The 25,719-nt window shown below is 48.1% G+C and overlaps 2 protein-coding genes and 1 long non-coding RNA gene across 6 annotated transcripts in view, besides 5 other annotated features; 1 reads left to right on the top strand and 2 right to left on the bottom strand.

Moving 5' to 3' along the window:
• CHMP4B (charged multivesicular body protein 4B) overlaps positions 1-503 on the bottom strand; it is a 43,019-nt gene extending 42,516 nt beyond the window's left edge. Inside the window, exon 1 of the mRNA NM_176812.5 lies at positions 193-503. Coding sequence (NP_789782.1) covers positions 193-382 — 190 coding nt within the window. The 5' untranslated portion in view covers positions 383-503. The remainder of the gene's footprint in view (positions 1-192) is intronic.
• Positions 375-654: a silencer, noted in NCBI's record as "silent region_12824". NCBI's record gives its function as "represses an Ori minimal core promoter by ATAC-STARR-seq in GM12878 lymphoblastoid cells {active_cell/tissue: GM12878}" and the evidence as "EXISTENCE:reporter gene assay evidence [ECO:0000049][PMID:35858748]".
• Positions 375-828: a biological region, named in NCBI's record as "Sharpr-MPRA regulatory region 12013".
• Positions 534-828: an enhancer, noted in NCBI's record as "tiled region #12013; HepG2 Activating non-DNase unmatched - State 1:Tss, and K562 Activating DNase matched - State 4:PromP". NCBI's record gives its function as "activates a minimal TATA promoter and a strong SV40 promoter by Sharpr-MPRA in HepG2 and K562 cells {active_cell/tissue: HepG2 | K562}" and the evidence as "EXISTENCE:reporter gene assay evidence [ECO:0000049][PMID:27701403]".
• Positions 715-794: an enhancer, noted in NCBI's record as "active region_17747". NCBI's record gives its function as "activates an Ori minimal core promoter by ATAC-STARR-seq in GM12878 lymphoblastoid cells {active_cell/tissue: GM12878}" and the evidence as "EXISTENCE:reporter gene assay evidence [ECO:0000049][PMID:35858748]".
• On the top strand, positions 752-24,478 carry ZNF341-AS1 (ZNF341 antisense RNA 1). Its single transcript, NR_110623.1, has 4 exons — positions 752-811; positions 13,856-13,933; positions 16,235-16,337; positions 24,074-24,478. It is a non-coding gene; the product is annotated as a ZNF341 antisense RNA 1 (long non-coding RNA).
• Positions 19,414-19,708: an enhancer, noted in NCBI's record as "tiled region #14745; HepG2 Activating non-DNase unmatched - State 4:PromP". NCBI's record gives its function as "activates a minimal TATA promoter and a strong SV40 promoter by Sharpr-MPRA in HepG2 cells {active_cell/tissue: HepG2}" and the evidence as "EXISTENCE:reporter gene assay evidence [ECO:0000049][PMID:27701403]".
• The window catches only part of ZNF341 (zinc finger protein 341), a 60,274-nt gene continuing 54,136 nt past the window's right edge, over positions 19,582-25,719 (bottom strand). For all 4 annotated transcript variants that reach the window (NR_104259.2, NM_001282933.2, NM_032819.5 and 1 more), the window contains 3 exons: positions 22,877-22,988; positions 22,263-22,333; positions 19,582-20,863 (listed from right to left, as the gene is read on the bottom strand). Coding sequence is in view for 3 of the 4 variants with exons in the window: in NM_001282933.2 (NP_001269862.1) it covers positions 20,334-20,863; positions 22,263-22,333; positions 22,877-22,988 (713 nt within the window). In the remaining variant the exon portion in view is untranslated. The remainder of the gene's footprint in view (positions 20,864-22,262; positions 22,334-22,876; positions 22,989-25,719) is intronic.

Raw genomic sequence — 25,719 nt, 5'->3', positions numbered from 1 at the left:
CGATGGAAAAGTCCAGGGATCGGGGAGACATTGAAGGGAGTCGGGGAGGGGGTCCCAGACCCGGCAAGAAGTCTGACCCGGAGAGTTCCAGGGTCAGACCAGACCCCGAGGCGAGTCTGATGAAGGTGAAGTCCGGGCCCGGGGAGCCTGGGGGGAGCCCGTGGCAAGTCTGAAGGGGCCGGGCAGCCTCACCGCGCTTGTTTTTGGTGCCGTGCTTCTTGGCGGCCGTCAGCTCCTGCTCGATTTTCTTCTCCAGGAACTCCTGTTTCTTGCTTAACATCTCTTCCGTGTCCCGCAGCCGCTGGATGGCCTCCTGGGGGGTCGGGCCGCCCTTGCCGGCCTTACCCCCTCCAGCCCCGAACAGCTTCCCGAACACCGACATGGTTGCTGCTCGCCGCGCCGGCCTTCGCCGCCCGCTCCGGCTCGGCTCGGCTCGGCTCGGCTCGGGTCGGCTCCGGCGCCCGCTCCCAGTCCCGCCGCTCCCTGCCGCCGCAGGCCTCTCCTCCGCCTCCGCCTCCGCCCCGCAGCTGGGCCCGGCCGCGCCACCTCCCACAGGCCCCCACGCCCGGCCCGGCAGGCGTCAGGGCAACGCGCCACTGACTACAACTCCCAGTGGGCAACGCGCCGGCCGCGCCTCAAATCTAATAGGGGGAAGCGTGCTGCATGCCGGGAAGCTATAGTCTTCCGGCTTCAGGCGCTCCCCGGCGCGTCTTTTGCTGTAGCTGGGGTCAAAGGGCGTGTGGCATTCTGGGAAATGTAGTCTCCTTGGCCTGCGCTCTGTAGGAGTGGCAGAACAGTAAGAGAAATGACAGTAAGTGTGCAACACTGCTCAAAAATTTATTGCTAGTATGGGATACTGCCATGCTTGAACTTCACATGTATATTCATGTGAAGTTGTCTTAAAAGCGTGAAGGCAACAGTTGTTTCCAATTTCAACCTGTCAATTCTGTGGTCACAGAAGCAAAGCAGTATCTTCTCCAGTTAAGTACGGTAGTGTCCCCCTTATCTGAGATTTTACTTTGAGTAGTTTCACTTGGCCAGCTAAGGTCTGACAGTATTAAATAGAAAATTCCAGAAATAAACAGTTCATAAGTTTTTAATTTCCATTGGCCTAATGAAATCTCGTGCTATCCTGTTCCATCCTACCTGCAATGTGAATCATCCCTTTGTCCAACATACCTCTACCATCTGTTAGTTACTTACCAGCTTAGGAGTTATCAGATGGACTGCCACGGTGTTGCAGTGCTTTGGTTCGAGTAACCCTCATTTTACTATATAATGGCCCCAAAGTGCAAGAGTAGTAATGCTGGCAGTTTGGATATGCCAAAATGAAGCTGTAAAGTGCTTCCTTTAAATGTAAATGTGGAAGTTCTGAGCTTAAGAAAAAAAATCGTATGCTGAGCTTACTGAGGTCTGCAGTAAGAACGAATCTTCTAGCCCTAGAATTGTGAAAGAGGAAAAAGAAATTCATGCTGGTTTTGCTGTCGTACCTCAAACTGCAAAAGTTACAGCCACAGTGTGTGATAAGTGCTTAGTTAAGATAGAAAAGGCATTAAGTTGTATCCTTACTTACAGGGGAAAAAAAGAAAATAAATTTTTTTACAAAAGAAAAGAAAAAGCATTAAGCTTATACGTGGAAGACACGAACAAAAAATGTGTTCCAACTGACAGCAACCTGTTACCCCCCAGAAAGCATTGAGCCTGTATAAAGGCTTCAGCAAGGAATCTCCTAAAACCAGTGGCACCAAGCCACTTACTGAAAGTAATGGATGGTTGCACTGACTTAGGAATAGGTTTAGACTGCAAAATATAAAAATTACTGGATGGGCTGGGCACAGTGGCTCACACCTGTAATCTCAGCACTCTGGCAGGCCTAGGCGGATGGATCACCTGAGGTCAGGAGTTTGAGACCAGCCTGGCCAACGTGGTGAAACCCCATCTCTACTAAAAATAAAAAATAAAAATAAAAAAATTAGCTGGGCGTGGTGGCGCACGCCTGTAATCCCAGCTACTTGGGAGGCTGAGGCAGGAGAATCACTTGAACCTGAGAGGCAGAGGTTGCAGTAAACTGAAATCGTGCTATTGCACTCCAGCCTGGGCGAAAAGAGCAAAATTCTGTCTCAAAAAGAAAAAAAAAATTACTGGAGCCGGGCGCGGTGGCTCACGCCTGTAATCCCAGCACTTTGGGAGGCCAAGGCGGGCGGATCACGAGGTCAGGAGATCGAGACCATCCTGGCTAACAAGGTGAAACCCCGTCTCTACTAAAAATACAAAAAATTAGCCTGGCATGGTGGCGGCGGGTGCCTGTAGTCCCAGCTACTCTGGAGGCTGAGGCAGGAGAATGGCGTGAACCCAGGAGGCAGAGCTTGCAGTGAGCCGAGATTGCGCCACTGCACTCCAGCCTGGGCGACAGAGAGAGACTCCGTGTCAAAAAAAAAAAAAAAAAAAAGGCCGGGCGCGGTGGCTCATGCCTGTAATCCCAGGACTTTGGGAGGCCGAGGCGGGCGGATCACGAGGTCAGGAGATCAAGATCATCCTGGCTAACACGGTGAAACTCCATCTCTACTAAAAATACAAAAAAATTAGCCAGGCATGGTGGCACGCGCCTGTAGTCCCAGCTACTCAGGAGGCTGAGGCAGGAGAATGGCGTGAACCCGGGAGGCAGAGCTGGCAGTGAGCCGAGATGGCACCACTGCACTCCAGCCTGGGCAACAGAGCGAGGCTCCGTGTCAAAAAAAAAAAAAAAAGTTACTGGAGGTTGGGTGCGGTGACTCACGCCTGTAATTCCAGCATTTTGGGAGACCAAGGCAGGTGGATCGCTTGAGCCCAGGAGTTGAGGCCAGCCTGGGCAACATGGCGAAACCCCATCCCTACAAAAAATACAAAATTTAGCTGGGCATGATGGCACAGGCCTATAGTCCCAGCTGCTCAGGAGACTGAGCCATGAAGATCATCTGAGCCTGGGAGTTTGAAACTGCAGTGAGCTGTGATCTCACCACTGCACTCGAGCCTGGGTGACAGAGTGAGACCCTGTCACAAATAAATAAATAAATATTACTGGAGAGGCTACAGCAAGACAAGTTGGTGGAGAAGGATTTGGGGACATGCTTGATGAAGAAGTGGAAGATCATATTGAAGGCCACTGGGAAGTGTTAACAAATGTGGAATTGGAAGAACTTGTCAAGTCATCTACAAAGAAAGAGGAAAATGAAGGAGAAACAGAAACAGAACCAGCAATATGGGTGTTATCAAAATTTGCCGAGTGTTTCAAATTGCACAGACATTAAAGGACAAAATTATGGAATTCAATCCTCAGATAGAACACAGCATTAAAACCACTCGTGTGGTCACCAAAGGATTACAACTTCTGCAGCCACACTTCTATGAATTAAAAAGAAAGAGGCCAGGCATAGTGGCTAACACCTGTAATCCTAGGACTTTGGGAGGCCGAGGTGGGCAGATCACTTGAGGCCCGGAGTTTGAGACCAGCCCGGCCATCGTGGTGAAATCCTGTCTCTACTAAAAATACAAAAATTCACCAGGCATGGTGGCGTGCACCTGTAATCCTAGCTACTTGGGAGGCTAAGGCAGAAGAATTGCTTGAACCCAAGAGGCAGAGGTTGCAGTGAGCCGAGATTGCGCCACTGCACTCCAGCCTGGGCGACAGAGACTCTGTCTCAAAAAAAAAAAAAAAAAAAAGAATTAAATAGAAAGAGATGGCCAGGTGCAGCGGCTCACGCTTGTAATCTCAGCACTTTGGGATGCTGAGGTAGGCGGGTCACTCGAGCTCACAGGTTTGAGACCAGCCTGGGCAACATGGTGAAACCTCATCTCTACAAAAAATGCAAAAAACTAGCTGGGTGTGGTGGCGCACACCTGCAGTCCCAGCTACTCAGGAGGCTGAGGTGGGAGGATCACCTGAGCCCAGGAGGTTGAGGCTGCAGTGAGCCATGATCACACCACTGCACTGAAACCTGGGCAACAGACTGAGATGCTATCTCAGAAAAAGAAAGAAAGAGACAACTTCCAGTAATAATGTTCTTCCAAAAGTTTTTGGCAAAAACGCAATTATCCAAGGACCCCCAATCATTGGTTGACATCGTCTGATCCTGATATCCAACCACTGACATCGTCATAGCTCAATGATCCAGGATCACCCAAAGCAGATGGTCCTCCTGACATCTCAGATGGTCAGTAGTAGCCTAACACTACCTCATAATGCCTGTGTCATTCACCTTACTTCATCTCATCACATAGGGATTTTGACATCACGCATAATCTCAAGAAGAAGGGTGAATACAGTACAGTAAGACATTTTGAGAGAGAGACCACATTCACAAAACTGAATACAGTATATTGTTATAATTGTCCCATTTTATTAATAGTTGTTATTAATCTCTTACTGTGCCTAATTTATAAATTAAACTTTATCATAGATGTATATATATAGAAAAAACACAGTATATATAAAGTTCAGTACTATTTATGTTTTCAGGCATCCACTTGCAGGTACACCTGAGGATAAAGGAGAACTATTGTATTTGAAAAACAACAATAATTAACATTGATGCACATTCTGTGATTGCACCATCGATGCACATTCTGGCATTGTGCAAAGTGCTGTACATATAATATCACATTTGGCCGGGGGCAGTGGCTCACGCCTGTAATCCCAGCACTTTGGGAGGCCAAGGCAGATGGATCATGAGGTCAGGAGTTCGAGACCAGCCTGGCCAACATGGTGAAACCCCGTCTCTACTAAAAATACAAAAATTAGCCAGGCATGGTGGTACGTGCCTGTAATCCCAGTGACTTGGGAGGCTGAGGCAGGAGAATCACTTGAACCCCAGAGGCAGAGTTTGCAGTGAGCTGAGATTGCGCCACTGCACTCCAGCCTGGGTGACAGAGCAAGACTTGGTCTCCAAAAAAAAAGAAAAAAAAACACATTTAATTATCATAAGCAGCCTAGGACAGATAATACTGTTCCTATTTTATAGGGGAGTAAACCAAGATTCAGAGAAATCAAGTGACTGACTGACTAGACCTGTCTTTGCAAATGTTCTTCCCTCTACCTGGAATGCCTTTCTACTCTTCATTCACCTAACAGATCCTTTGAAACCTAGCAGAAGCTAAGGGCCTTGGCACTGAACTTTGATAGCAAAGGTTCAAAACCCAGCCTTGACTACTTACTTGGGCAAGTTATTTCCCCTACTTTCTGTGCCTCCCTTCCTGCAAGTATAAACTGGAGATGATCGTAACAGGACCACCTGAAGCTTATGTGAGATATAGAATGTAAAGTACTTGCTGAGCATAGACTTGGCACCTAGCGGATGCTCAAAAATGTGTATTTTATTCTTAGGTATTCTGTCATCTTTATAGGCAATAAGAATTGAACCAGACTCAGAACTTTCAAAAGTGGCAGAAGCGTTGAGGACTTTTTTGCCTCTGCAATAAACAGACGCAGCTAATTGTGGTACCACATTTCATTGTTTTTCCATTGTCTTTGGTGTCAAGCATCACTTCTCTAGACTCTTAGTGGTGGATAAAAAGGGGGAAAAAATCACTTCTCCATCCATTAGCAGTGAGGCTGCTGTTAGTAGCCAGTAGTTGCCCCAAGCCTACCATTCTAATTTGCTGCTTCCAATCTTTTGCATGTGTTAACCTTGCATGAAAACAAAGAATAGCCGGCGCGGTGGCTCACGCCTGTAATCCCAGCACTTTGGGAGGCCGAGATGGGCGGATCACGAGGTCAGGAGATCGAGACCGTCCTGGCTAACACAGTGAAACCCCGTCTCTACTAAAAATACAAAAAAATTAGCCGGGCGTGGTTGCAGGCTCCTGTAGTCCCAGCTACTCGGGAGGCTGAGGCAGGAGAATGGCCTGAACCCAGGAGGCGGAGCTTGCAGTGAGCCGAGATCTCGCCACCGCACTACAGCCTGGGTGACAGAGCGAGACTCCGTCTCAAAAAAAAAACAAAAACAAAAACAAAGAATAAACCAATTCTAAATGAGGAGCTGAAATGCTCTCCCATGAAGAAAAATACAGCTTCTCAAAGGTATTTTTTATTCCTTCCTGTACTTTTCAAATATGTGAAGTTGCTCAGGATCAGAGTTTCAAATAAATGAGAGCTTAGCTGGACTTTTCCTCTATTAGTTTATATGTGAGTCTTATCTCCTCCCTCAGACTATGATTTACATTTGGACAAAAGCCATGAGTTGGATGTTGTTGTTGTTTTAATCAGCCACAACCTCCAACCCTGCACATACAGGCAGCCATTCCCAGAGGATGGTAGAGTTCATTTCACCCAATTTTGTGGTTGGAATAAGTTTTTCAAATGTGAGAGACATGCTAGAACTGTCAAGAATTCACAGGAGTATTGTTAAACATTAAGTCACATTTGTGTTTGTTCCGTAATTGAGACACTGCAATGTTTTAGCAAAGTAAAAGAGAAAAACAAAGAGGCTTCAGTCAAGCCACCTCATGGGTGCAGCAGCCCCTCCACATCTAAGCAGTCTGCCTCATCACCTCTTATCTAAGTCAAGTTGCTCCCAGGTACATAGGTAGCAAAACACTTGCTGGGTTGGAGCCATTACCCAAAGGATATATGAACAGGAAGATGCTGTGGACCTCACCACCATCAGTTTCATACAGCTGTGTGGTAAACTGAGGGTGATAACAGAGCCCCTCATGTTCTAACTCTGGGAGCCCAGAAAAATATCTTGGGGATATGACAGCAGAAGCCTCAGATTTAATCTTGAGTACTGTATTAGTCTGTTTTCATGCTTCTGATAAAGGCATACCCAAGACTGGGCAATCTACAAAAAGAAAGAGGTTTAATTGGACTTATAGTTCCATATGGCAGGGGAAGCCTCACAATCATGGCAGAAGTCAAGGAAGAGTAAGTCCCGTCTTACATGGATAGCAACGGGCAAAGAGAGAATGAGAGCCAAGAGAAAGGGGTTTCTCCTTATAAAACCACCAGATCTCATGACACTTATTCACTACCACAAGAACAGTATGGGAGAAACCGCTGCCATGATTTAATTATCTCGTACCAGGTCCCTCCCACAACAATGGGAATTATGGGAGATATAATTCAAGATGAGATTTGAGTGGGGACACAGCCAAACTATATCAAGTACCAACTACAAGCAATTAGTGTTGGCCACCTGGACCGCTGGGTTGAAAAGAATTTTGAGGCTGCATCAGAAGTTCTTGTAAAAAAAAGTGCCAAGATTGGCCCGGCATGGCGACTCACACCTGTAATCTCAGCACTTTGGGAGGCCAAGATGGGAAGATTGCTTGAACCCAGGAGTTTGAGACCAGCCTGGGCGACATAGGGACACTCAGTCTCAAGAAATAATTAAAAATTACCTGGGCATGGTGGCACACACCTATGGTCCCAGTTATTCGAGAGGCTGAGGCAGGAGGATCACTTGAGCCCAGGAGGTTGAGGCTGCAGTGAGCTGTGAACATGCAACTGCCCTCCAGCCTGAGTGACAGAGTGAGACACTGTCTCAAAAAAAGAAAAAAAAGTGCTCAAGATGGATTTGTGATGTCTACCCAGGGTATGGGATGGGAAGTGGTGACACATGGGCAAAGTAGCTGCCATCCTGGCTGAGAATTCAGCTGCCATAAATAGAGATTCACAGAGTGGACTGGCTCAATACTGGAGAGCCCTGGGCTTTGCTGGCCTGTATTTTTCTGGTCTCTCAGACAAATGCACAGCCTTTTCAAACTTTGACCAACTCGTATTAACTTATTCAAAACTGTGTGAAAAAGAATGAGCCACTGATACATGCAAGAATTTGGATGACTCACAGATATTATGCTGAGTGAAAGAAACCAGATACAAAAGCTTGTATGACTCCATATATACGAAGCTCAAAAACAGGCAAAACTAATCCATGGTGTTAGGAATCAGAATAATGGTTACCTCCAGGGAGGTACAGACCAGGAAGAGGACCCTTACAAGGTGCTAACAGGTTCAATAGCAGGATCCAGAGGTGTTCACATGGCTGTATACAAATTAATCAGTTTTTATACTTAAGACGATTGCCCTTTATGTATCTTATGTACTTTATTAAACATGTTATATTACAATTTAAAACAACATCTCCAGGCTGGGCATGGTGGCTCATGCCTGTAATCCTAGCACTTTGAGAGGCCGAGGTGGATGGATCACTTGAGCTCAGGAGTTCGAGACCAGCCTGGCCAACATGGTGAAACCCCAAGTCTACTTAAAAAATGCGAAAATGAGCCAAGCATGGTGGTGCACACCTGTAATCCCAGCCACTCAGGAGGCTGAGGCAGGAGAATCACTTGAACCCAGGAAGTGGAGGTTGCAGTGAGCCGAGATCATGCCACTGCACTCCAGCCGGGGCGACATAGCAAGACTCCATCTCAAAAATAAGTAAATAAGTAAATAAATAAATAAATAAATAAATAACATCTCTAGCTGGGCATGGCAGCTCATGCCTGTAATCTCAGCACTTTGGGAAACCAAGGTGGGAGGATTGCTTGAGGCCACAGTTCAACACCATCCTGGGCAACATAGTGAGATCTCTTCTCTAGAAAAAAATTTAAAAATTAGCCAGGCATGGTGGTGCAAGCCTGTAGTCTGGGCTACTTGGGAAGCTGAGGTGGAAAAATTGCTTGGGCCCAGGAGTTCAAAGCTACAGTGAGCTATGATGACGCCAATGCACTCCAGCCTGGGCAACAGAGGGAGACCCTGTCTCAAAAAAGAAACGAACAACAACAACAAAAATACACACACAAAGTATCTCTAATAAGAGCAGCAACAGAAGAATAGTTTTTATTTGCAAAGTGCCTTTGCACACAAAAATCCCATCTTATCTCCATCATCCCTCTAAGCCCCATGAAGTAAGCATTACTATCCACCTCCATTTTACAGTTGAGGAAACTGAGGCCCAAAGAAGTAGGAATTGACTAAAGTCACATGGTTAAAGATACCCAGCCATATATTTGTAACCTTCTTTGAAAACATTAATTATGAAATGAGGCCGGGCACGGTGGCTCACGCCTGTAATCCCAGCACTTTGGGAGGCCGAGATGGGCGGATCACCTGACGACAGGAGTTTGAGACCAGCCTCAACATGGAGAAACCCCATCTCTACTAAAAATACAAAATTAGCCAGGCGTGGTGGTGCATGCCTGTAATCCCAGCTACTCGGGAGGCTGAGGCAGGAGAATTGCTTGAACCTGGGAGGCGGAGGTTGCGGTGAGCCGAGATCACACCATCACACTCCAGTCTGGGCAACAAGAGTGAAACTCTGTCCCAAAAAATCAAAAAAATTATGAAATAAAACCTTAATTATGAAACTTGGTCTCACATAATTATACCAAATTAAATACAGAGGACTTCGCTGATTTTTAGTTGTAAAAAAGAGTTCATCCAACATTCTCTCCTGATTAAACAAAAAACAAACAAACAAAAAAACAAAACCTGAAACACTCAGCCAACTAGGAAGAGGAGAGAACTTCTCAACCTGGTAAAAGGCATCTGTGCAAAACCCACAGCTAACATCACACTTAATGGTGAAGACAAAGGCCGAAAGCTTTCCCCCTAAGATCAGGAATAAGATAAGGATGCCTACTCTCATCACTTCCAATCAACATTGTACTGAAAGTTCTTGCCAGGGCAATTAAGCAAGAAAAATAAATAAAAGGCATCCAGATTGGAAAAGCAGAGGTAAAACTATTTCTATTTGTAGATGACATGATCTCATATAGAGAAAAACCTAAAGAATACACAGAAAGCTATTAGAACTAAAATGAGTTCAGCAAAGTTCAACAATATCAACACACAAAAATCAGTTGTATTTCTGTACATTAGCAACGAGCAATATGAAAATGATATTAAGAATCATTTCCATTTACAATAGCATCAAAAATAATAAAACATTTAGCAATAAATTTAACCACGGAAAGGAAAGGCTTGTCCTCTGAAAAGTACCAAACCTTGTTGAAAGAAATCAAGGAAGACATAAATAAATGGAAACACATTCCATGTCCATGGATTAGAAGACTTAATTGTTAAGACAGCAACACTCTCCAAATTGCTCAACAGATTCAATACAAGTCTTTCAAAATCTGAGCTGCATTTTTTGCAGAAATGGACAAGTTTATCCCACACCTCATATGGAATCGCAAGAGACCCTGAATAGTCAAAACAATATTCAAAAAGAAAAATAAAGTTGAAAGATTCGCATGTCCTGATTTCAAAACTTACTGCAAAGCTACAATAAAGAAGTTTATCGATCAATTGAATAGAGTCAAGAGTACAAAAATAAACCTATACATCTATAGTCAATTGATTTTCAACAAGTGTGCTAAGACCATTAAATGGGGGAAGCATAGTCTTTTCAACAAATGGTGCTAAGACAGCTGGGTATCCAAATGCAAAGGAATGAGGCCAGGCCCTGTGGCTCATGCCTGTAATCCCAGCACGTTGGGAGGCCAAGGCAGGAGGATCGCAGGAGCCCAGGAGTTCAAGACCAGCCTAGGTAACATAGTGACACCCCAGCTATACAAAATAATAATAATAATAAATAAAATTAGCCGGGCATGGTGGTGTGTGCCTGTAGTCTCAGTTACTCAGGAGGCTAAGGTGGAAGGATCACTTGAGCCCAGGAGTTCGAGGCTGCAGTGAGCTGTGATTTCATCACTCTACTCCAGCCTGGGTGACAAAGTGAGACCCTGTCACCCAGGCTGACCCTATATGAAATGTCCAAAATAGTCAAATCCATAGAGATAGAAAGCAGATTAGTGGTTGCCAGGGTCCAGAGAGGGGGAAAAAGGAGAATGACTGCTTAATGGGTACAGGGTTTCTTTTTGGGATGACGAAAATGTTATGTAACTAGATTGTGGCGATGGTTACACAATATTGTGAATGTAATAAAAAAGAGCTGCATTGTATACTTTAGTTAAAATGGTGAGGTTTTTTTTTTTTTTTTTTTGGTAGATGGAGTCTCACTCTGTTGCCCAGGCTGGAGTGGAGTGGTGCAATCTTGGCTCACTGCAACCTCTGCCTCCCAGGTTCAAGCAATTATCCTGCCTCAGCCTCCTGAGTAGCTGAGATTACAGGTATTGCCACCACACCTGGCTAATTTTTTGCATTTTTAGTAGAGATGGGGTTTCCCTATGTTGGCCAGGGTGGTCTCAAACTCCTGACCTCAGGTGATCCGCCCGCCTCAGCATCCCAAAGTCCTGGGATTACAGGCATCAGCCACCGCACCCGACCAAAATGGTGAATTTTATGTCATGTGAATTTTATCTCAATTTTTATTTTTATTGTTTGAGACAAAGAGTCTCGCTTTGTTGCCCAGGCTGGAGTGCAGTGGCACAATCTCGGCTCACAGCAACCTCTACCACCCAGTTTCAAGTGCCCACCACTACACCTGGCTAATTTTTGTATTTTCAGTGGAGACAGGGTTTCCCCATTTTGGCCAGGCTGGTCTCGAACTCCTGACCTCAGGAGATCCGCCTACCTTGGCCTCCCAAAGTTTTGGATTACAGGCTACAAACACCACGCCCGGCCTTATCTCAATTTTTTTTTTTTTTTTTTTTTGAGACAGAGTTTCACTCTTGTTGCCCAGGCTGGAGTGCAATGGCACGATCTCGGCTCACTGCAACCTCCGCCTCCCGGGTCCCGGTTCAAGCAGTTCTCCTGCCTCAGCCTCCTGAGTAGCTGAGATTACAGGCATGCGCCACCACGCCCAGCTAATTTTTGTATTTTTAGTACAGACAGGTTTCACCATGTTGGCCAGGCTGGTCTCAAACTCCTGACCTCATGATCTGCCCACCTCAACCTCCCAAAGTGCTGGGATTACAGGCGTGAGCCACTGCGCCCGGCCCCTTATCTCAATTTTTAAAAGTGCGTTGAAGTAATGAAGAGGGAACATGTTTTGGTGCCTACCACACAGACCTAGATTAGAATTGGGGCTCTGCCATTCAGCCATGTGCTTTACCTGCCTTGGTTTTCCTGTCTGTGAAACAGAAATAACACTATATTCCTCACCAGGCCATTCTGATGATTCAGTGACAACACAGACAAAGGCCTTAGCACAGAGTATGTATTCAACAGATATTTATGAAATAATAACAACAGGAATAATAATCATTAACATCCACGGAGCTCTCACTCTGACAGCTTACATAGAATATCTCATTTATTTACTTATTTTTATTTTATTTTATTTTTTGAGACAGGGTCTCACTCTGTCACCCAGGCTGGAGTGCAGTGGCACGATCATGGCTCACTGCAACCTCTGCCTCCCAGGCTCAAGCGATCCTCCCACCTCAGCCTCCCGAGTAGCTGTGACCACAGGTGTGTGCCACCACACCCAGCTAATTTTTGTATCTTTTGTAGAGACAGGGTCTCCCTATGTTGCCCAAGCTGGTCCTAAACCGCTGGACTCAACTGATTCTCCCCCCTTGGCCTCTCAAAGTGCTGGGATTACAGGTGTCAGCCATCACGCCCAGCCAGATTATCTCATTTAATCATCCAACTATAGTTCTATGAGGTAGTTACAGATTACAGCTGAGGAAACAGAAGCTTGGAGAGGTTGAATAACTTGCCGAAGATCACACCATTATTGAGTGGACTGGTTGGCACTTGAACCGTGAGAAAATAACAGAGAATCTTCATCAGCACTTTATGCTAAGCCAGACACTGAGCCGAGGATTTTACATGCATTACCTCATTTAGCCCACACAACAACTATATGAGGTAGGCTTTATTGTTCCCATTTTATACATTAACAGAGGTTGGACAGCTTGCCTAAGATCACACACTTGTAGGAGGCAGAGCTGGGATTCTTACTGTAAAGGCAACCAGTTTAGCCACTGTGCTATTCTGCCTACATGCAAATAATGAATGAACAGAGAGACACTCACACCTACAAACAGGTAAATAAATAAAGTGTGGTGGGCCTGGGAGCAGGTCTCACCTCCCAGGGGAGTGGGGCAAAGTAAGCGATGGGGGCAGGAAAGGCCCAACCCAGCAGAACTTGAGGGGTTAAGTGAGGAGTGAGGGGGAGGTGGGTGAAACTGTTGACCAGAAAGGACCCTACACTTGTGCTAATGGTGGGTTACAGGGCCTACTCCATACCCATTTGTCTGACCACATGCAGGCCATGCAGCAGGCCCTAGACGGCCACACAGGCTCCAGTCAATGACTGTGACTCCCTGGACTTTACCCCAGGGAAACCCTCATCCTCACCCAGGCGCAGGCCCAAGGCACAGGTAGACTAGAAGTCTACCTGCACGAGGAAGGAAAAGTCCACATCCAATCCCTTAGAATATCCTGTTGGCTCTATCATCAAAATATATCCAGAAAGCTATCATTTCTTACCATCTTCATTGCGGTTACTCTGGTCAAAGCCACCATCATCTCTTGCCTGCACTATTGCAGTAGCCTCCTGGTGGGCAGGATAATGGTCCTTCAAAGACGTCCATGTCCTCATCCCCAGAATCTCACCTTAAATGGACTTTGTAGAAGTGTTAAGGAGTTTGAAATGATGAGCTTATTGTGGATTATCCAGCTGGCCTCAATGTAATCACAAAACAGAAGCAAGAGGTTTCAGAGTCAGAGACTGGCAGGATGCTGCCCTTCTGCCTTTGAATGGAGAAAGGTGCCACAAGCCAAGGAATGCAGGTGGCTTCTAGAAACCGGAAAAGACAATGGAACAGATTCTCCCCTAGAGCCTCCGGAAGGACAAAGCCCTGCCAACACTTGATTTTAGTCCAGTGGGAACCATATCAGACTTCTGACCTCCAGAGTGATAAGATCTGTGTTGGTTTAAGCCACTAAGTTTCTGATTCTTTATTACAGAAGCAAGAGGAACCTAATACTCTTCCTCATTGGCCTTCCTGTCTCCATCTTTATTCCTTCCAGCTCATTCTCTACATGGTAAGCAGAGGTATCCTTTAAAAAATATGTGTTTGGCTGGGCACAGTGGCTCATCCCTATAATCCCAGCATTTTGGGAGGCCGAGGCAGGCGGATCACTTGAGGCCAGGAGTTCAAGACCAGCCTGGGTAACATGGTGAAACCCTATCTTTACTAAAAATACAAAAATTAGCTGGGCATGGTGGCATGCACCTGTAGTCTCAGGAGGCAGGGGCACGAGAATCGCTTGAATCTGGGAGTTGGAGGTTGCAGTGAGCTGAGATCACGCCACTGCACTCCAGCCTGGGTGACAGAGAGAGACTCTGTCTCAGGAAAAAAAAAATTATATATATATATTTTTTTGACATCTGACATATATATATACACACACATATATATATACATATATGTACACACACACACATATATATGTTTTGACACTGGACATACATATGTATGTCGGATCCAGTCACTGAATGCTCACAATCCTCCAATGGCTCTCCACGTCCCTCAAGTAAAACCCAAAGTCCTTTCAATGTCCCTCAAGTCCCTACATGATGTCATGATTTTCCTGTCACCTCCTTGCCCTCCCCCTTTCCAGTGCCTCACTCCAATCACACTGGCCCCTCTACTCTTCCTCAAACACACCAGCACCCTCCAAACTCTCAAAACCTCTACTCACCTCTACTTTTTTTCCTTCTCTATAGTCCTCGTCACCTCCTAACATCTATAACTTACTTATTTACTTTGTTGTTTATCTTCTGCTTCCTCCACAAAGGATCTCCACAAATGATTGTTTTGCTCATGATGTATCATCAAAGAACTATGCTTGGCACGTCATAGGTACTCAAGAAATATTTAATCAATAAATAAGTGGACTGAGGTAGCAGTGGCCTGGGAAGCAGCCTTGCCTTGATGAGACTTTGGACAAGACCTTTTCTCTCCCTGGGCCTGTTTATTCTCTGTGATTCTTCAAAGGACGCAAGGCCCTAAAGTTGGGTTCTGTGCCTAAGCCTACCTGAGGCACCCTCAGCTAGTAAGAAGTCACTGCCAATCCTTAGATGGAGCCTGCTCACCTCCCTGATCACCACCCTTCAGGCCCTGAAAGCCTTGTGTGTGGGGGGGTCACTTGCTGGCAGCCTTGGGGGTTGGGAGCACCCGTAGCTGCCACCTCCACTCCTTCCTCCCCAAAGGAGACAAAACTAGTCCAACCAGTTCCCTGGGCCACAGGGACACCTGCTCTGTCGACTTCCACCTGCTCTGTCGAGACTTCCAAGCCACCTGCCTTAGTCATTTGGCCCAGATATTCTCTGCTCCCTCTTTGAACAAAGGAAGATATCCTTTTATATCAGACATTACTTCCCAGGACCCTGGGTCAGTCATATCTCGGTCTACATGACAGATTCTCTGGTCTCCCTGGGGTGAGAGGAGCGGGTGGGTAAAGTGAGCCTTCTTCTCTCAAAGTGCTGTTGTTTATTCATTCGACAAATATTGATTGAACAATTCCTGGGAAGGTCTAAGCACTGTAGATACTTCAGGAACAAAACAGACAAAAGTCGATGCCTTTGTGGACCTTTTGTTTCTAATGAGGACAACAGACAATAAACAAATGTCTAATATAATGTCAAGGGTGACGTATAAAAATAAAATAGGGTAAGGAATTCGAGAATGATGGAGGTGGGGCTATGTTACACAGATTGGCCAAGGAAAACTTATCAGAGGAAATGAGTTTTTTTGTTTATTTATATATTTATTTATTTATTTTGAGACAGAGTCTCACTCCGTTGCCCAGGCTGGAGTGCAGTGGCATGATCTCAGCTCACTGCAACCTTCACCTCCCCAGTTCAAGTGATTCTCCAGCCTCAGCCTCCTGAGTAGCTGGGATTACAGGCACGCACCACCATGCTCGGCTAATTTTTTGTATTTTTTAGTAGAGACAGGGTTTTGCCACGTTGGCCAGGTTGGTCTCAATCTCCTGACCTCATGATCCACCCACCTCAGCCTGCCAGAGTTCTGGGATTACAGGTGTAAGCCACCACGCCTGGCCCAAATGTCCCAATTTTTTACATTTTCTAATTGCTTCTGGAGTATAGGAGCATAGTAGATTTGTATATATTGATCTTGCTATTATTTCAGCACCCTTGCTATTATCTCACCCTTTCCAATCCTGATACTATTTATTTCTTTTTCTTGCTCTATTATTCTGGCCAGGCCACTAATGTAATATTGGAGTCATAACAGCAGGCATCCTTGTGTCATTCCTGACACTTCACCACTGTAGTATATTTTAAATTTGTTTTTAAACGTTGGCTTACTTTTTCAGACACTGTGAATGCCAAACTGTCTGGAGGCTGCCATGAGCGGCCAATTTGTGATCTCTGCTTTACCTGAATTATTTCCGTGAATTGTGACATCAACCTCGCCAGGTAGGTACTATTATTCTCCACACTGACACAAGGAAACTGAGGTTCAGAAAGGTGAAGTGACTCGCCATAGTCACACAGCTAGGAGGGGGCAGAGCCAGAATTCAAACCCAGCTCTGCTTGATACCAAAGACTGTAATCTTTCTCTTTTTTTTTTTTTTTTTTTTTGAGACAGAGTTTACTCTTAGAGTAAGAGTCTGTCCATGAGTTTACTCTGTCACCCTGGCTGCAGTGCAATGGTGAGATCTCGGCTCACTGCAACCTCCGTCTCCCGGATTCTACAAATTCTCCTGCCTTGGCTTCCCAAGTAGCTGGGATCACAGGCACATGCAACCACGAATGGCTAATTTTTTGTAGTAGAGATGGGGTTTCGCCATGTTGGCCAAGCTGGTCTCGAACCCCTGACCTCAGGTGATCCGCCCATCTTGGCCTCCCAAAGTGCTGGGATTACAGGAGTGAGCCACCACACCCGGTAAAAAAACTGTGATCTTTCTGGGGGTGGAGTGAGACCCTGGATGCCTAGGCCAGCCCCTTTTTATGCTCCACTCTGTCCAGCATCTTGGAGTTCGGTGGCAGACCCTGGGGTCCTGGAGCAGCTATCTCCAACTTTCTTTTTTATTATTTATTTATTTATTTATTTATTTATTTATTTATTTAATGAGACAGAGTCTTGCTCTCCCCCAAGCTGGAGAGCAGTGGCATGATCTCGGCTCACTGCAACCTCCGCCTCCCAGGTTCAAGCGATTCTCCTGCCTCAGCCTCCCAAGTAGCTGGGACCAGCTCCAGGGCCACCACATCTGGCTAATTTTTTGTATTTTTAGTAGAGACAGGGTTTCACCATGTTAGCCAGGATGGTCTTGATATCCTGTCCTCGTGATCTGCCTGCCTCGGCCTCTCAAAGTGCTGGGATTTGTCACCAACTTTCTGTTAAACATTATAGCTGATCTTGGTATGTCCTTATCTGTGGCTTGGCTCTGCTACTTCCCTCCTGTGTGACTTTGGGCTGCTTAACCTTAATGTGCCTGTTGCCTCATCTCAGCTGCAAAATGGGCTTAAAAGTAGTGCCTACATTGAGGTGCTGGGGATGGTGCCAGGCATTCATTCGATAACTAATAAATGTTAGTTCTCGTGATTACCAGTAGACGTGTATGCCTGTGTGCACTGACAGGAAGAAGCTATAGAAAAACCACTTAAATAGTTATATTAGGAAGAAGATGTCATTTTTTTTTCTTTTTTTGAGATGGAGTTTCACTCTTGTCACCCAGATTGGAGTGCAATGTCACGGGATCTCAGCTCACTGCAAACTCTGCCTCCCGGGTTCAAGCGATTCTCCTGCCTCAGCCTCCCAAGTAGCTGAGATTACTGGCATGTGCCACCACGCCCAGCTAATTTTTTTGTATTATTAGTAGAGATGGGGTTTCACCATGTTGGCCAGGATAGTCTCAAACTCCTGACATCGGGTGATCCACCCGCCTCGGCCTCCCAAAGTGCTGGGATTATAGGAGTGAGCCACCACACCCGGCTGAAGATGTCGTTCTTCACATTTCTTTCAATGCCATTGTTACAACTTTTAAAAATGTTCACTGTCTCCCATGACTCCCCTTCATTATGTGGAGAATAAAGTCCAGATTCCTTAACCCACATCTAAGGCCCTCTCTGATTCATCAACCCACACTTCAATCGTGGAAAGTGGCTAAGAACCCATGGAGGCAGGCTGCCGTGGCTTGAGTCCCAGCTCTGCAGCTTTCCTGGCTGTGTGAGCTTGGGTAAGGAAGTTTACCCCTCTGGGCCTGGGTTTTCTCAGCTGTAAAATACAGAAAGTAACAGCACTCACATGACAGGCTGAGGCGACGTGACTGTAAATAGCCTGGCACAGTGTCCCTCGTGTGGAGAAGGTGAAGCAACAGCCATGATCATTATCCACCTACTCCTCTGAGACCTCTGGTCACCCTGGAACATCCGCCGGCCCCAGAACATAGCAGGCCTGGCACTGTCCCACCCCAAGGTGTTTGCACGCGCCCTGCTCTCACCCAGCACACCTTCCCCTATCCATCCACCCATCAAAGCACCCCGGGCCAAGGCCCAGCTCCAGGGGCATCCCCTCTGACTTCCTGTCCCCACCAGTCCCCCTCGGGCCTTTGTGCAGGCCGGTACACTTACACACCTCACCCCCATCAACTCTGTCCCTCCTGCCGCGTCACACCCTTCCTGAGGATGTGGGAAGCTGGGCCTGGCTCTGAGTTCCAGCCCTGAGATCCAACACAGATGCCTGAGGGACCTGCCAGCCTTCAAAACAATTCAGTCATCAAATGGAGTCCAACAGCCCAGAAGGGTGGCTGTGAAGATAAACAGGAAAACACTAGTCAAGGCCCTTTTCTCCTTCCCGCCTCCTCATGAGCCCGGTCCACCTCCCACCGGGACCAGCTGAGAGGTAGGAGGAAGCACTGGACGCGGTGACATTGATGGCCTCCAGATGCCGACACGAGAGGGATTTCTGATCTTGTTTACAACGGATTTGGAGGTGGCTAACTATCCTGAATTCCCACAAGTGAGTACAAACCCCGACCCCCATGGGGTGTTGTCCTGGACTGTTTTCTGTGGATGGGTGTTCCCAATTTCCTTTCTTTTTTTTCGTTTCTTTTCTTTTTTTTTAAATCTTTGAGACAGGGTCTTGCTCAGTTGCCCAGGCTGGAATGCAGTGGCACAATCTCAGCTCACTGCAGCCTCAACCTCCTGGGCTCAAGTGATCCTCCCACATTAGCCTCCAGCATATCTGGGACTGCAGGCACCCACCACCATGCCCAGCTAATTTTTTTTTTTTTTTTTTGAGACAGGGTCTCACTCTGTCTCCCACACTGGAGTGCAGTGGCACGATCTCAGCTCACTGCAACCTCTGTCTCCTGGGTTCAAGTGATTCTCCCGCCTCAGCCTCCCAAGTAGCTGGGAATACAGGTGTGCACCACCACACCCGGTTAATTTTTGTATTTTTACTAGAGACGAGGTTTTGCCATGTTGGCCAGACTGGTCTCAAACTCCTGATCTCAGGTGATCAGCCCACCTTGGCCTCCCAAAGTGCTGGGATTACAGGCATGAGCTGCCGTGCCCAGCCTTGCTTCCCTTATCATCTCTCCAGGGCTCCCTGTGTGAGGGGCCTGGGACCCCTCAGCCACCACAAGCTTCAGAGGGGGAGTGCTGCCACCTAGGGGCAAAGAAGGAAACTGCCACAGCTTGGCCCAGGCCACCCGGACACGTTATGACAAAAACATTTATTGAGCACTTTCTGCGTGCCGGGCACCATGCCAAGCCCCTGGCGCACTTCATCATACTGGATCCCCAGGACAACCCTATGAGGTAGTAGTATCGTAAGCCCCATTGTACAGATGAGGAACACGGGGCTCAGAGAAGTGAAGTGACTTGCCCAAGGTCACACAGCAAGTGCATGGCAACTCTTGGATTTGAAGCCAGATCTGTCTCATAGCTGCAGTCTAGCCGTGACACCTGAGTGCCTCCTAAAAGCTACATCACAGAGCTGTCTGAGGATGCTGTGGGGAACCGTCTGTGAAAAGGTGCAACACGTAAACTCCGAAGAGTTTATGGCAGGCCTCCTGAAGAACAGCAGACTAGAGGCTACCCAGAGGCAGCCTGGAGACAGAGTGGGGAGGAATGCCCTGTCTCCTCTCCCAGGGGCCCCGACCACCAGCCTAGACCAGCGGGACTCTGGGCTGCTCAGGCTTCAGCCATCTCTCTCCTGCCACCATGGCTCTGCCCAGAAACCGTGGATGGCCCTGCCCCCAACCCTAGAATGTTGCAGGGCTTTCCGGCAGGAGAGGGGCACAGGAGGGCGACCATGGGCTGAGGTTTCTGAATGACATTCAGCAGGATTTCTGCCAATGGCTCGATGGCTCGCTTCCACTGGTAAGGATCACCGGTCTGCCCCCAGGGGCCCTGGACCCAAACAGGAGCATCAGGCCTGCCCAGGAAACAGACACCTCAGGTCCGTCACTCGGAGGCCTGGATGTAGACGGGCACAGCGAGCATGGCACATGGGCCCTCGGCCCCAGCCTGCAGCTCCGCCAGAGCCAGGTTGGAGCCCAGCCCCTCAGCGTGTCCAGGTACCACCAGCTCAGTTTCCGCGCCCACCGCACCACCCACAACGATGGACAGCACCGCGTCCGGCTCTGCGAAGGGCGGCTTGCCGGGGACAGCCTCGGGCACCAGCCCAGCCCCTGTGTCCTTCAGCTCCTCCAGCCCCAGCGGGTCAGGCAAGGGGGTCAGCACCTTGCGCCCACCACTGCCGCAACTGCGGGGGGCTGCCCTCCTCTGGGGGGGCCGCCGGGTTTGCAGGTCCTTGTCCTTTTGGGGGCCGAGACGACAGCGGTGATCTTTGAGGTATTTGTGGCGGGAAAAGCCCTTGGCGCAGCCAGCACAGCGGAACTTGTAGTTGCCCGTGTGGGCGCGCTGATGCTCGGCGAGGTGGGCACGGCGGCTGAAGGACTTGCTGCACAGGGCGCATTTGTGGAGCTTCATGCCTGGAGGGCAAGGGAAAGTCAGTGAGAAGCATCCAGACCTTCACCCCGCAACAGTGCCCTGCGCTGGGAATAAAATCCAGGCTCTTTCCCCACCAGCACCTGTGTGATCTGGCCCCAGCTCTCTCCACCCTCGTCGTCTGCCTTCTTCCAGCCACTCTCTGCGCCAGCCACACTCGCTCTCCTCAGAGATGCCACGCTGGCTCCTCCCTCTGCGCCTTTGTACTTGCCATTCTCCTCTGCCTGGAACAGCTGCTCACTCTCTGCACCTTGGCTCGCTTTGCCAGGTCATCTCAGGCTCAGGGAGGGGCCGTGACGCCTGAGGCCACCCACAGGAACATGGCAGCACTAAGACTCCAACCCAGCCCTGTGTGTCCAAGTCATTGACCTACTCTCCCAGTTTTCACACTTTCTTTAGTGACTGACTCCTTTCTGTAAACCTTCTCAAACAAGGGAGACTTTACCCCCCAGAGGACTCAGCAATGCCTAGAGACATTTTTGGTTGTCACAACTGTGGGGGGATGCCACTGACACCAGTAGATAGAAGCCAGGGATACTGCTAAAAATCCTACAGGGCACAGGACAGCCCCCAGGACAAAATTATCTACAGGATTACAGGCCAGGCGCCGGTGGCTCACACCTGTAATCCCAGCACCTTGGGAGGCCAAGGCGGGCAGATCACTTGAGGTCAGGAGTTCGACACCAGCCTAGCCAACATGGTGAAAACCCCATGTCTACTAAAAATACAAAAATTAGCTGGGTGTGGTGGCAGGCACCTGTAATCCCAACTACTTGGGAAGCTGAGGCAAGAGAATCGCTTGAACCTGGGAGGCAGAGGTTGCAATGAGCCAAGATCACACCACTGCACTCCACCTGGGTGACAGAGGGAGGCTCCGTCTCAAAAAAAAAAAAAAAAAATTATCTGGCCCAAATTGTCAATGGTGCCAGGGTTGAAGAACCTTGTTTTAGACCTCGGCTGGCATGTGGAAAGCCAGCCAGGCTGCTCTGAGGAGGCGCTGAGAAACTGAGGAGTGGCTTGGAGACCCCTGCCCTGCCCTATCAAAGAAGCTTCCTGGCCATGTCTTGGACCTGGCTGGAATCTGATTCCCTCCACACCTCGTCCACACCTCTATTACACTGGGCACTGCTCCAACTGAGTCATCTCTGCTCAGGTCAGCTTCCTCCTTGGACTGGGGGACTGTGTCTGATTCATCTCTGTTCACCCTTAAGTCCCTAACACAGGCCTGGCTCATAGCCCACATAAGTGAAAGTGCTGGCTGGAATGTGCCAGGCAGGGAAAACAAGCCTCACAGGATATGTCTGCTCTTTCTCTTCCTGGCGGGTCTATCCCAGTGAACTAGAGCTGAACCAGACCCTCTTAGCAGGCCCAAGAGCCACTTACCAGAGTGGGAGAGGATGTGGGCCTTCAGCTTGTCCGGCCGGTTGAACTCCTTACTGCAGCCTGTGTGCGTCCTAAAACCCAAAGCCACTGGTCAGGGGGAGCTCACCAAGCTTAGGATCCTCTTGCTGGCCCCTCCACTAGCCCTGGGCACAAGGGACAGCCTTGTCCACCCTAAGGGCTGGGCAAGGAGGTAGGGTGGGAAGTGAGGCAGGCAGGGCCCAGGACAGGATAAAAGGAGAGAGGCCTGGCCAGGCACAGTGGCTCACGCCTGTAATCTCAGCACTTTGGGAGGCCGAGGTGGATGGATCACTTGCGGTCAGGAGCTCGAGACCAGCCTAGGCAACATGGCGAAACTCCATCTCTACTAAATCTGTAATCTCAGCTACTTGGGAAGCCGAGGCAAGAGAATCGCTTGAACCCAGAAGGCAGAGGTTGCAGTGAGACAAGATCTTACCACTGCACTCCAGCCTGGATGACAGAGTGAGACTATGTCTCCAAAAAAAAAAAAAAGGAGAGGCCTGCCCTCAGGCCTGACATCTGTCCCACCCTCCCCAGCAGCACCCCTGGAGAATCTGTCCCGCTACCCACCCCCCTGCATGGCAGTCTCTACTCACGAGAAAGGGCATTTGTATTTCTTGAAGGGCTCGTGGATCAACATGTGTCTCTTCAGTTTGTCCTTGCGGTTGAACGCAGACTCGCACACTGAGCATTTGTAGGGCTTCTCACCTGCAGCAGACACAGACAGGGAGAGCCAGCACTCACCAGGAGTCGGCATCCAGGGCACAAGGGTCCCCGCTGGGCCCCTCAGGGGAGCAGCTCCTCTAGGGAGGTGGCCAGGGGAGAAAATAGCCTCTCTCATTCTTCAGTGGCTTTGTTTTGCCAGAGACAAGACAGGGCTATTTTGACAGGATGGTCAGGAGAGGCCTCTCTGATGAGGCCATGCATGAGGAGAGACCTCAGGTCATCAGGGAGATGGTCTGGGCAGCAGGGAAAGCAGGTACAAAGGCCCTGAGGCAGGAGTGCGTTTGGCGGTGCTGATGAACAACAGGGAGGCTGGTGTGGCCAGAGAACAAGGCAGAAGGTGAGGGCAGCGAGCCAGCCAGGTCCGCATGGGAGGACCTGGGAGGCAGAGCTAAGGACTTGGCTTTTATTTATTTATTTTTTTTGAGACAGAGCCTTGCTCTGTCACCCAGGCTGGAGTGCAGTGGCAAGATTTCAGGTGAGTCACTGCAACCTCTGCCTTCTGGGTTCAAGCAATCCTCCTACCTCAGCCTCCTGAGTAGATGGGATTACAGGTGTGTGCCACCACGCCCAGCTAATTTTTGTATTTTTAGTAGAGATGGGGGGTTTCACCATGTTGGCCAGGCTGGTCTCGAACTCCTGACCTCAAGTGATCCACCTGCCTTGGCCTCCCAAAGTGCTGGGATTACAGGCATGAGCCACCGCGCCCAGCCAGGACTTTGGCTTTTACTCTGAGCCAGAAGAGAAGCACCAGAAGGTCTGAACAGCAGAGGGATGGACTCTGATGTAAGCTTTTAACCAGCTCGAATGAGGGTGGAGGTGAGGATAACCAGGAAGTGGCCCAGGACAGCCATGTTGGGAAGGCACAGTCGGCAGCCCTTGCCACTGGACTGGCTGTGACTGTGAGAGGAGGAGAGGAGTCAAGGATGAGGCACGGCCTGAGAAGCAAGGTGGCCTCATGTCATTTCTGGCAATGCGGTCCACCCTGGGGGACGAGGAATCACACCTTATCTAACTGAATCCTTCCAAAAAACCAGGAGGCACTGACTCCCATCATCCCTGTTTCACAGATAAGAAAGAAGACTGAAGTTCAGAGAGGTGAAGGGACTGGCTCAGGGGCTACCCCTATGGTTGCGGGAGCTAAGATTCCAGCCCAGCAGCGTGATCCAGAGCCCATCTGAGCTACCCAGATCTTCCTGCTGTTAAACCCGTCCTGGGGCAGCTCTTGCCTGATGGGCTACCTGAGGAACCCACAGGAAATCAAGGGAGGTGCCTGCAAAGTTGCCGTGGGGTCACAGCCTGCCCTTTGGAAGGGGCTGTTTCTGGGCTGCTGTGACTTCCTGCCATTATTTCCTCTCTGTTCTCCCTCTGGAATGAATAAAGTACTTCTGAAAAACCATCAACCCAGTCGATACGGAAATGCTGGTCCCTACAATAGAATGCTCTGTGGTCATTAAAAAGATTAAAAAGGTCAATCTGTGTTTCCTGATCTGGAAAGATCTCCTGGACATACTGCTAGTGGGGAAAGAAAGCAGTAGAACAGCTTAACACAATCTCGTCTTTCTTAGAAAAAAATATAATCCCTACTGGATATGTAAGCTCCAACAAAAAAAAAAGAAAGAAAAAATACAACCTGCACACCCCAAAAAAGCCCTGGCCATGTGTCTCTGTAAATAAACTGAAGATGCAGGAAGAAAGATGGGGAGGTGTAGGGAAAGGACAGACCAAAGTGTCAGTGGCAACTACAACTTGAAGGGGAAATTTAACATTTTACTTTATGTACTCCTATATTGTTTCCATTTTTATAATAACCATGTATTATTTGTGTGGTTTTTTTTGTTTTGTTTTGTTTCGTTTTTTGTATTTTTTTTTTTTTTTTTGAAACAGAGTCTTGCTCTGTTGCCCAGGCTGGAGTGCAGTGGTTTGATCTTGGCTCACTGCAACCTCCATCTCCTGGGTTCAGGCAATTCTCCTGCCTCAGCCTCCTGAGTAGCTGGGATCACAGGTGCGTACCACCACACCCGGCTAATTTTTGTATTTTTAGTAGAGACGGGGTTTCATCACGTTGGCCAGGCTGGTCTCAAACTCTTGACCTAGGTGCTCCACCCACCTTCACCTTCCAAAGTGCTGAGATTACAGGCATGAGCCACCGCGCCTGGCAGCATGTATTACTTTTGAATAATAATTTTTAAAAGCCATAAAGAGCAATTTGGTAATATCAAACTTACAATGCATTACTTCTTTTCCCTTCTTTATTGTGGAGAAATATACATAACAGAAAATTGACCATCTTAAGCTTCTTTTAAGTGTATAGTTCAGTGGCATAAGTACATTTGCACCATCATGCAACCATCACCATCATCTGTCTCTAGAATTTTTTCATCATCCCAAACTGAAACTCAGTATTACACATGCATTTTAACCTAGCATTTCCACTCCTAAGAATATACACTACAGATACACTTCCAAAAGCTTGCCAAGGGACCCACACAGCATTGTGTGTACAAACTAATAGCTGAAATGTAATTTAACGGTTCATACATAGGCTGGGCGTGATGGCTCATGCCTGTAATCCCAGCACTTTGGGAGGCTGGGGCGGGGGGATCACTTGAGGTCAGGAGTTCGAGACCAGCCTGGCCAACATGGTGAAACCACATATCTACTAAAAATACAAAAATTAGCTGGGCGTGATGGTGCACACCTGTAATCCCAGCTA

The sequence above is a fragment of the Homo sapiens genome, chromosome 20 (assembly GCF_000001405.40).
Source record: "Homo sapiens chromosome 20, GRCh38.p14 Primary Assembly".
Taxonomy (NCBI): Eukaryota; Metazoa; Chordata; class Mammalia; order Primates; family Hominidae; genus Homo; species Homo sapiens.
Note: the sequence above shows the minus strand (reverse complement) of the source record. Positions and strands in the feature narration are given on the sequence as shown.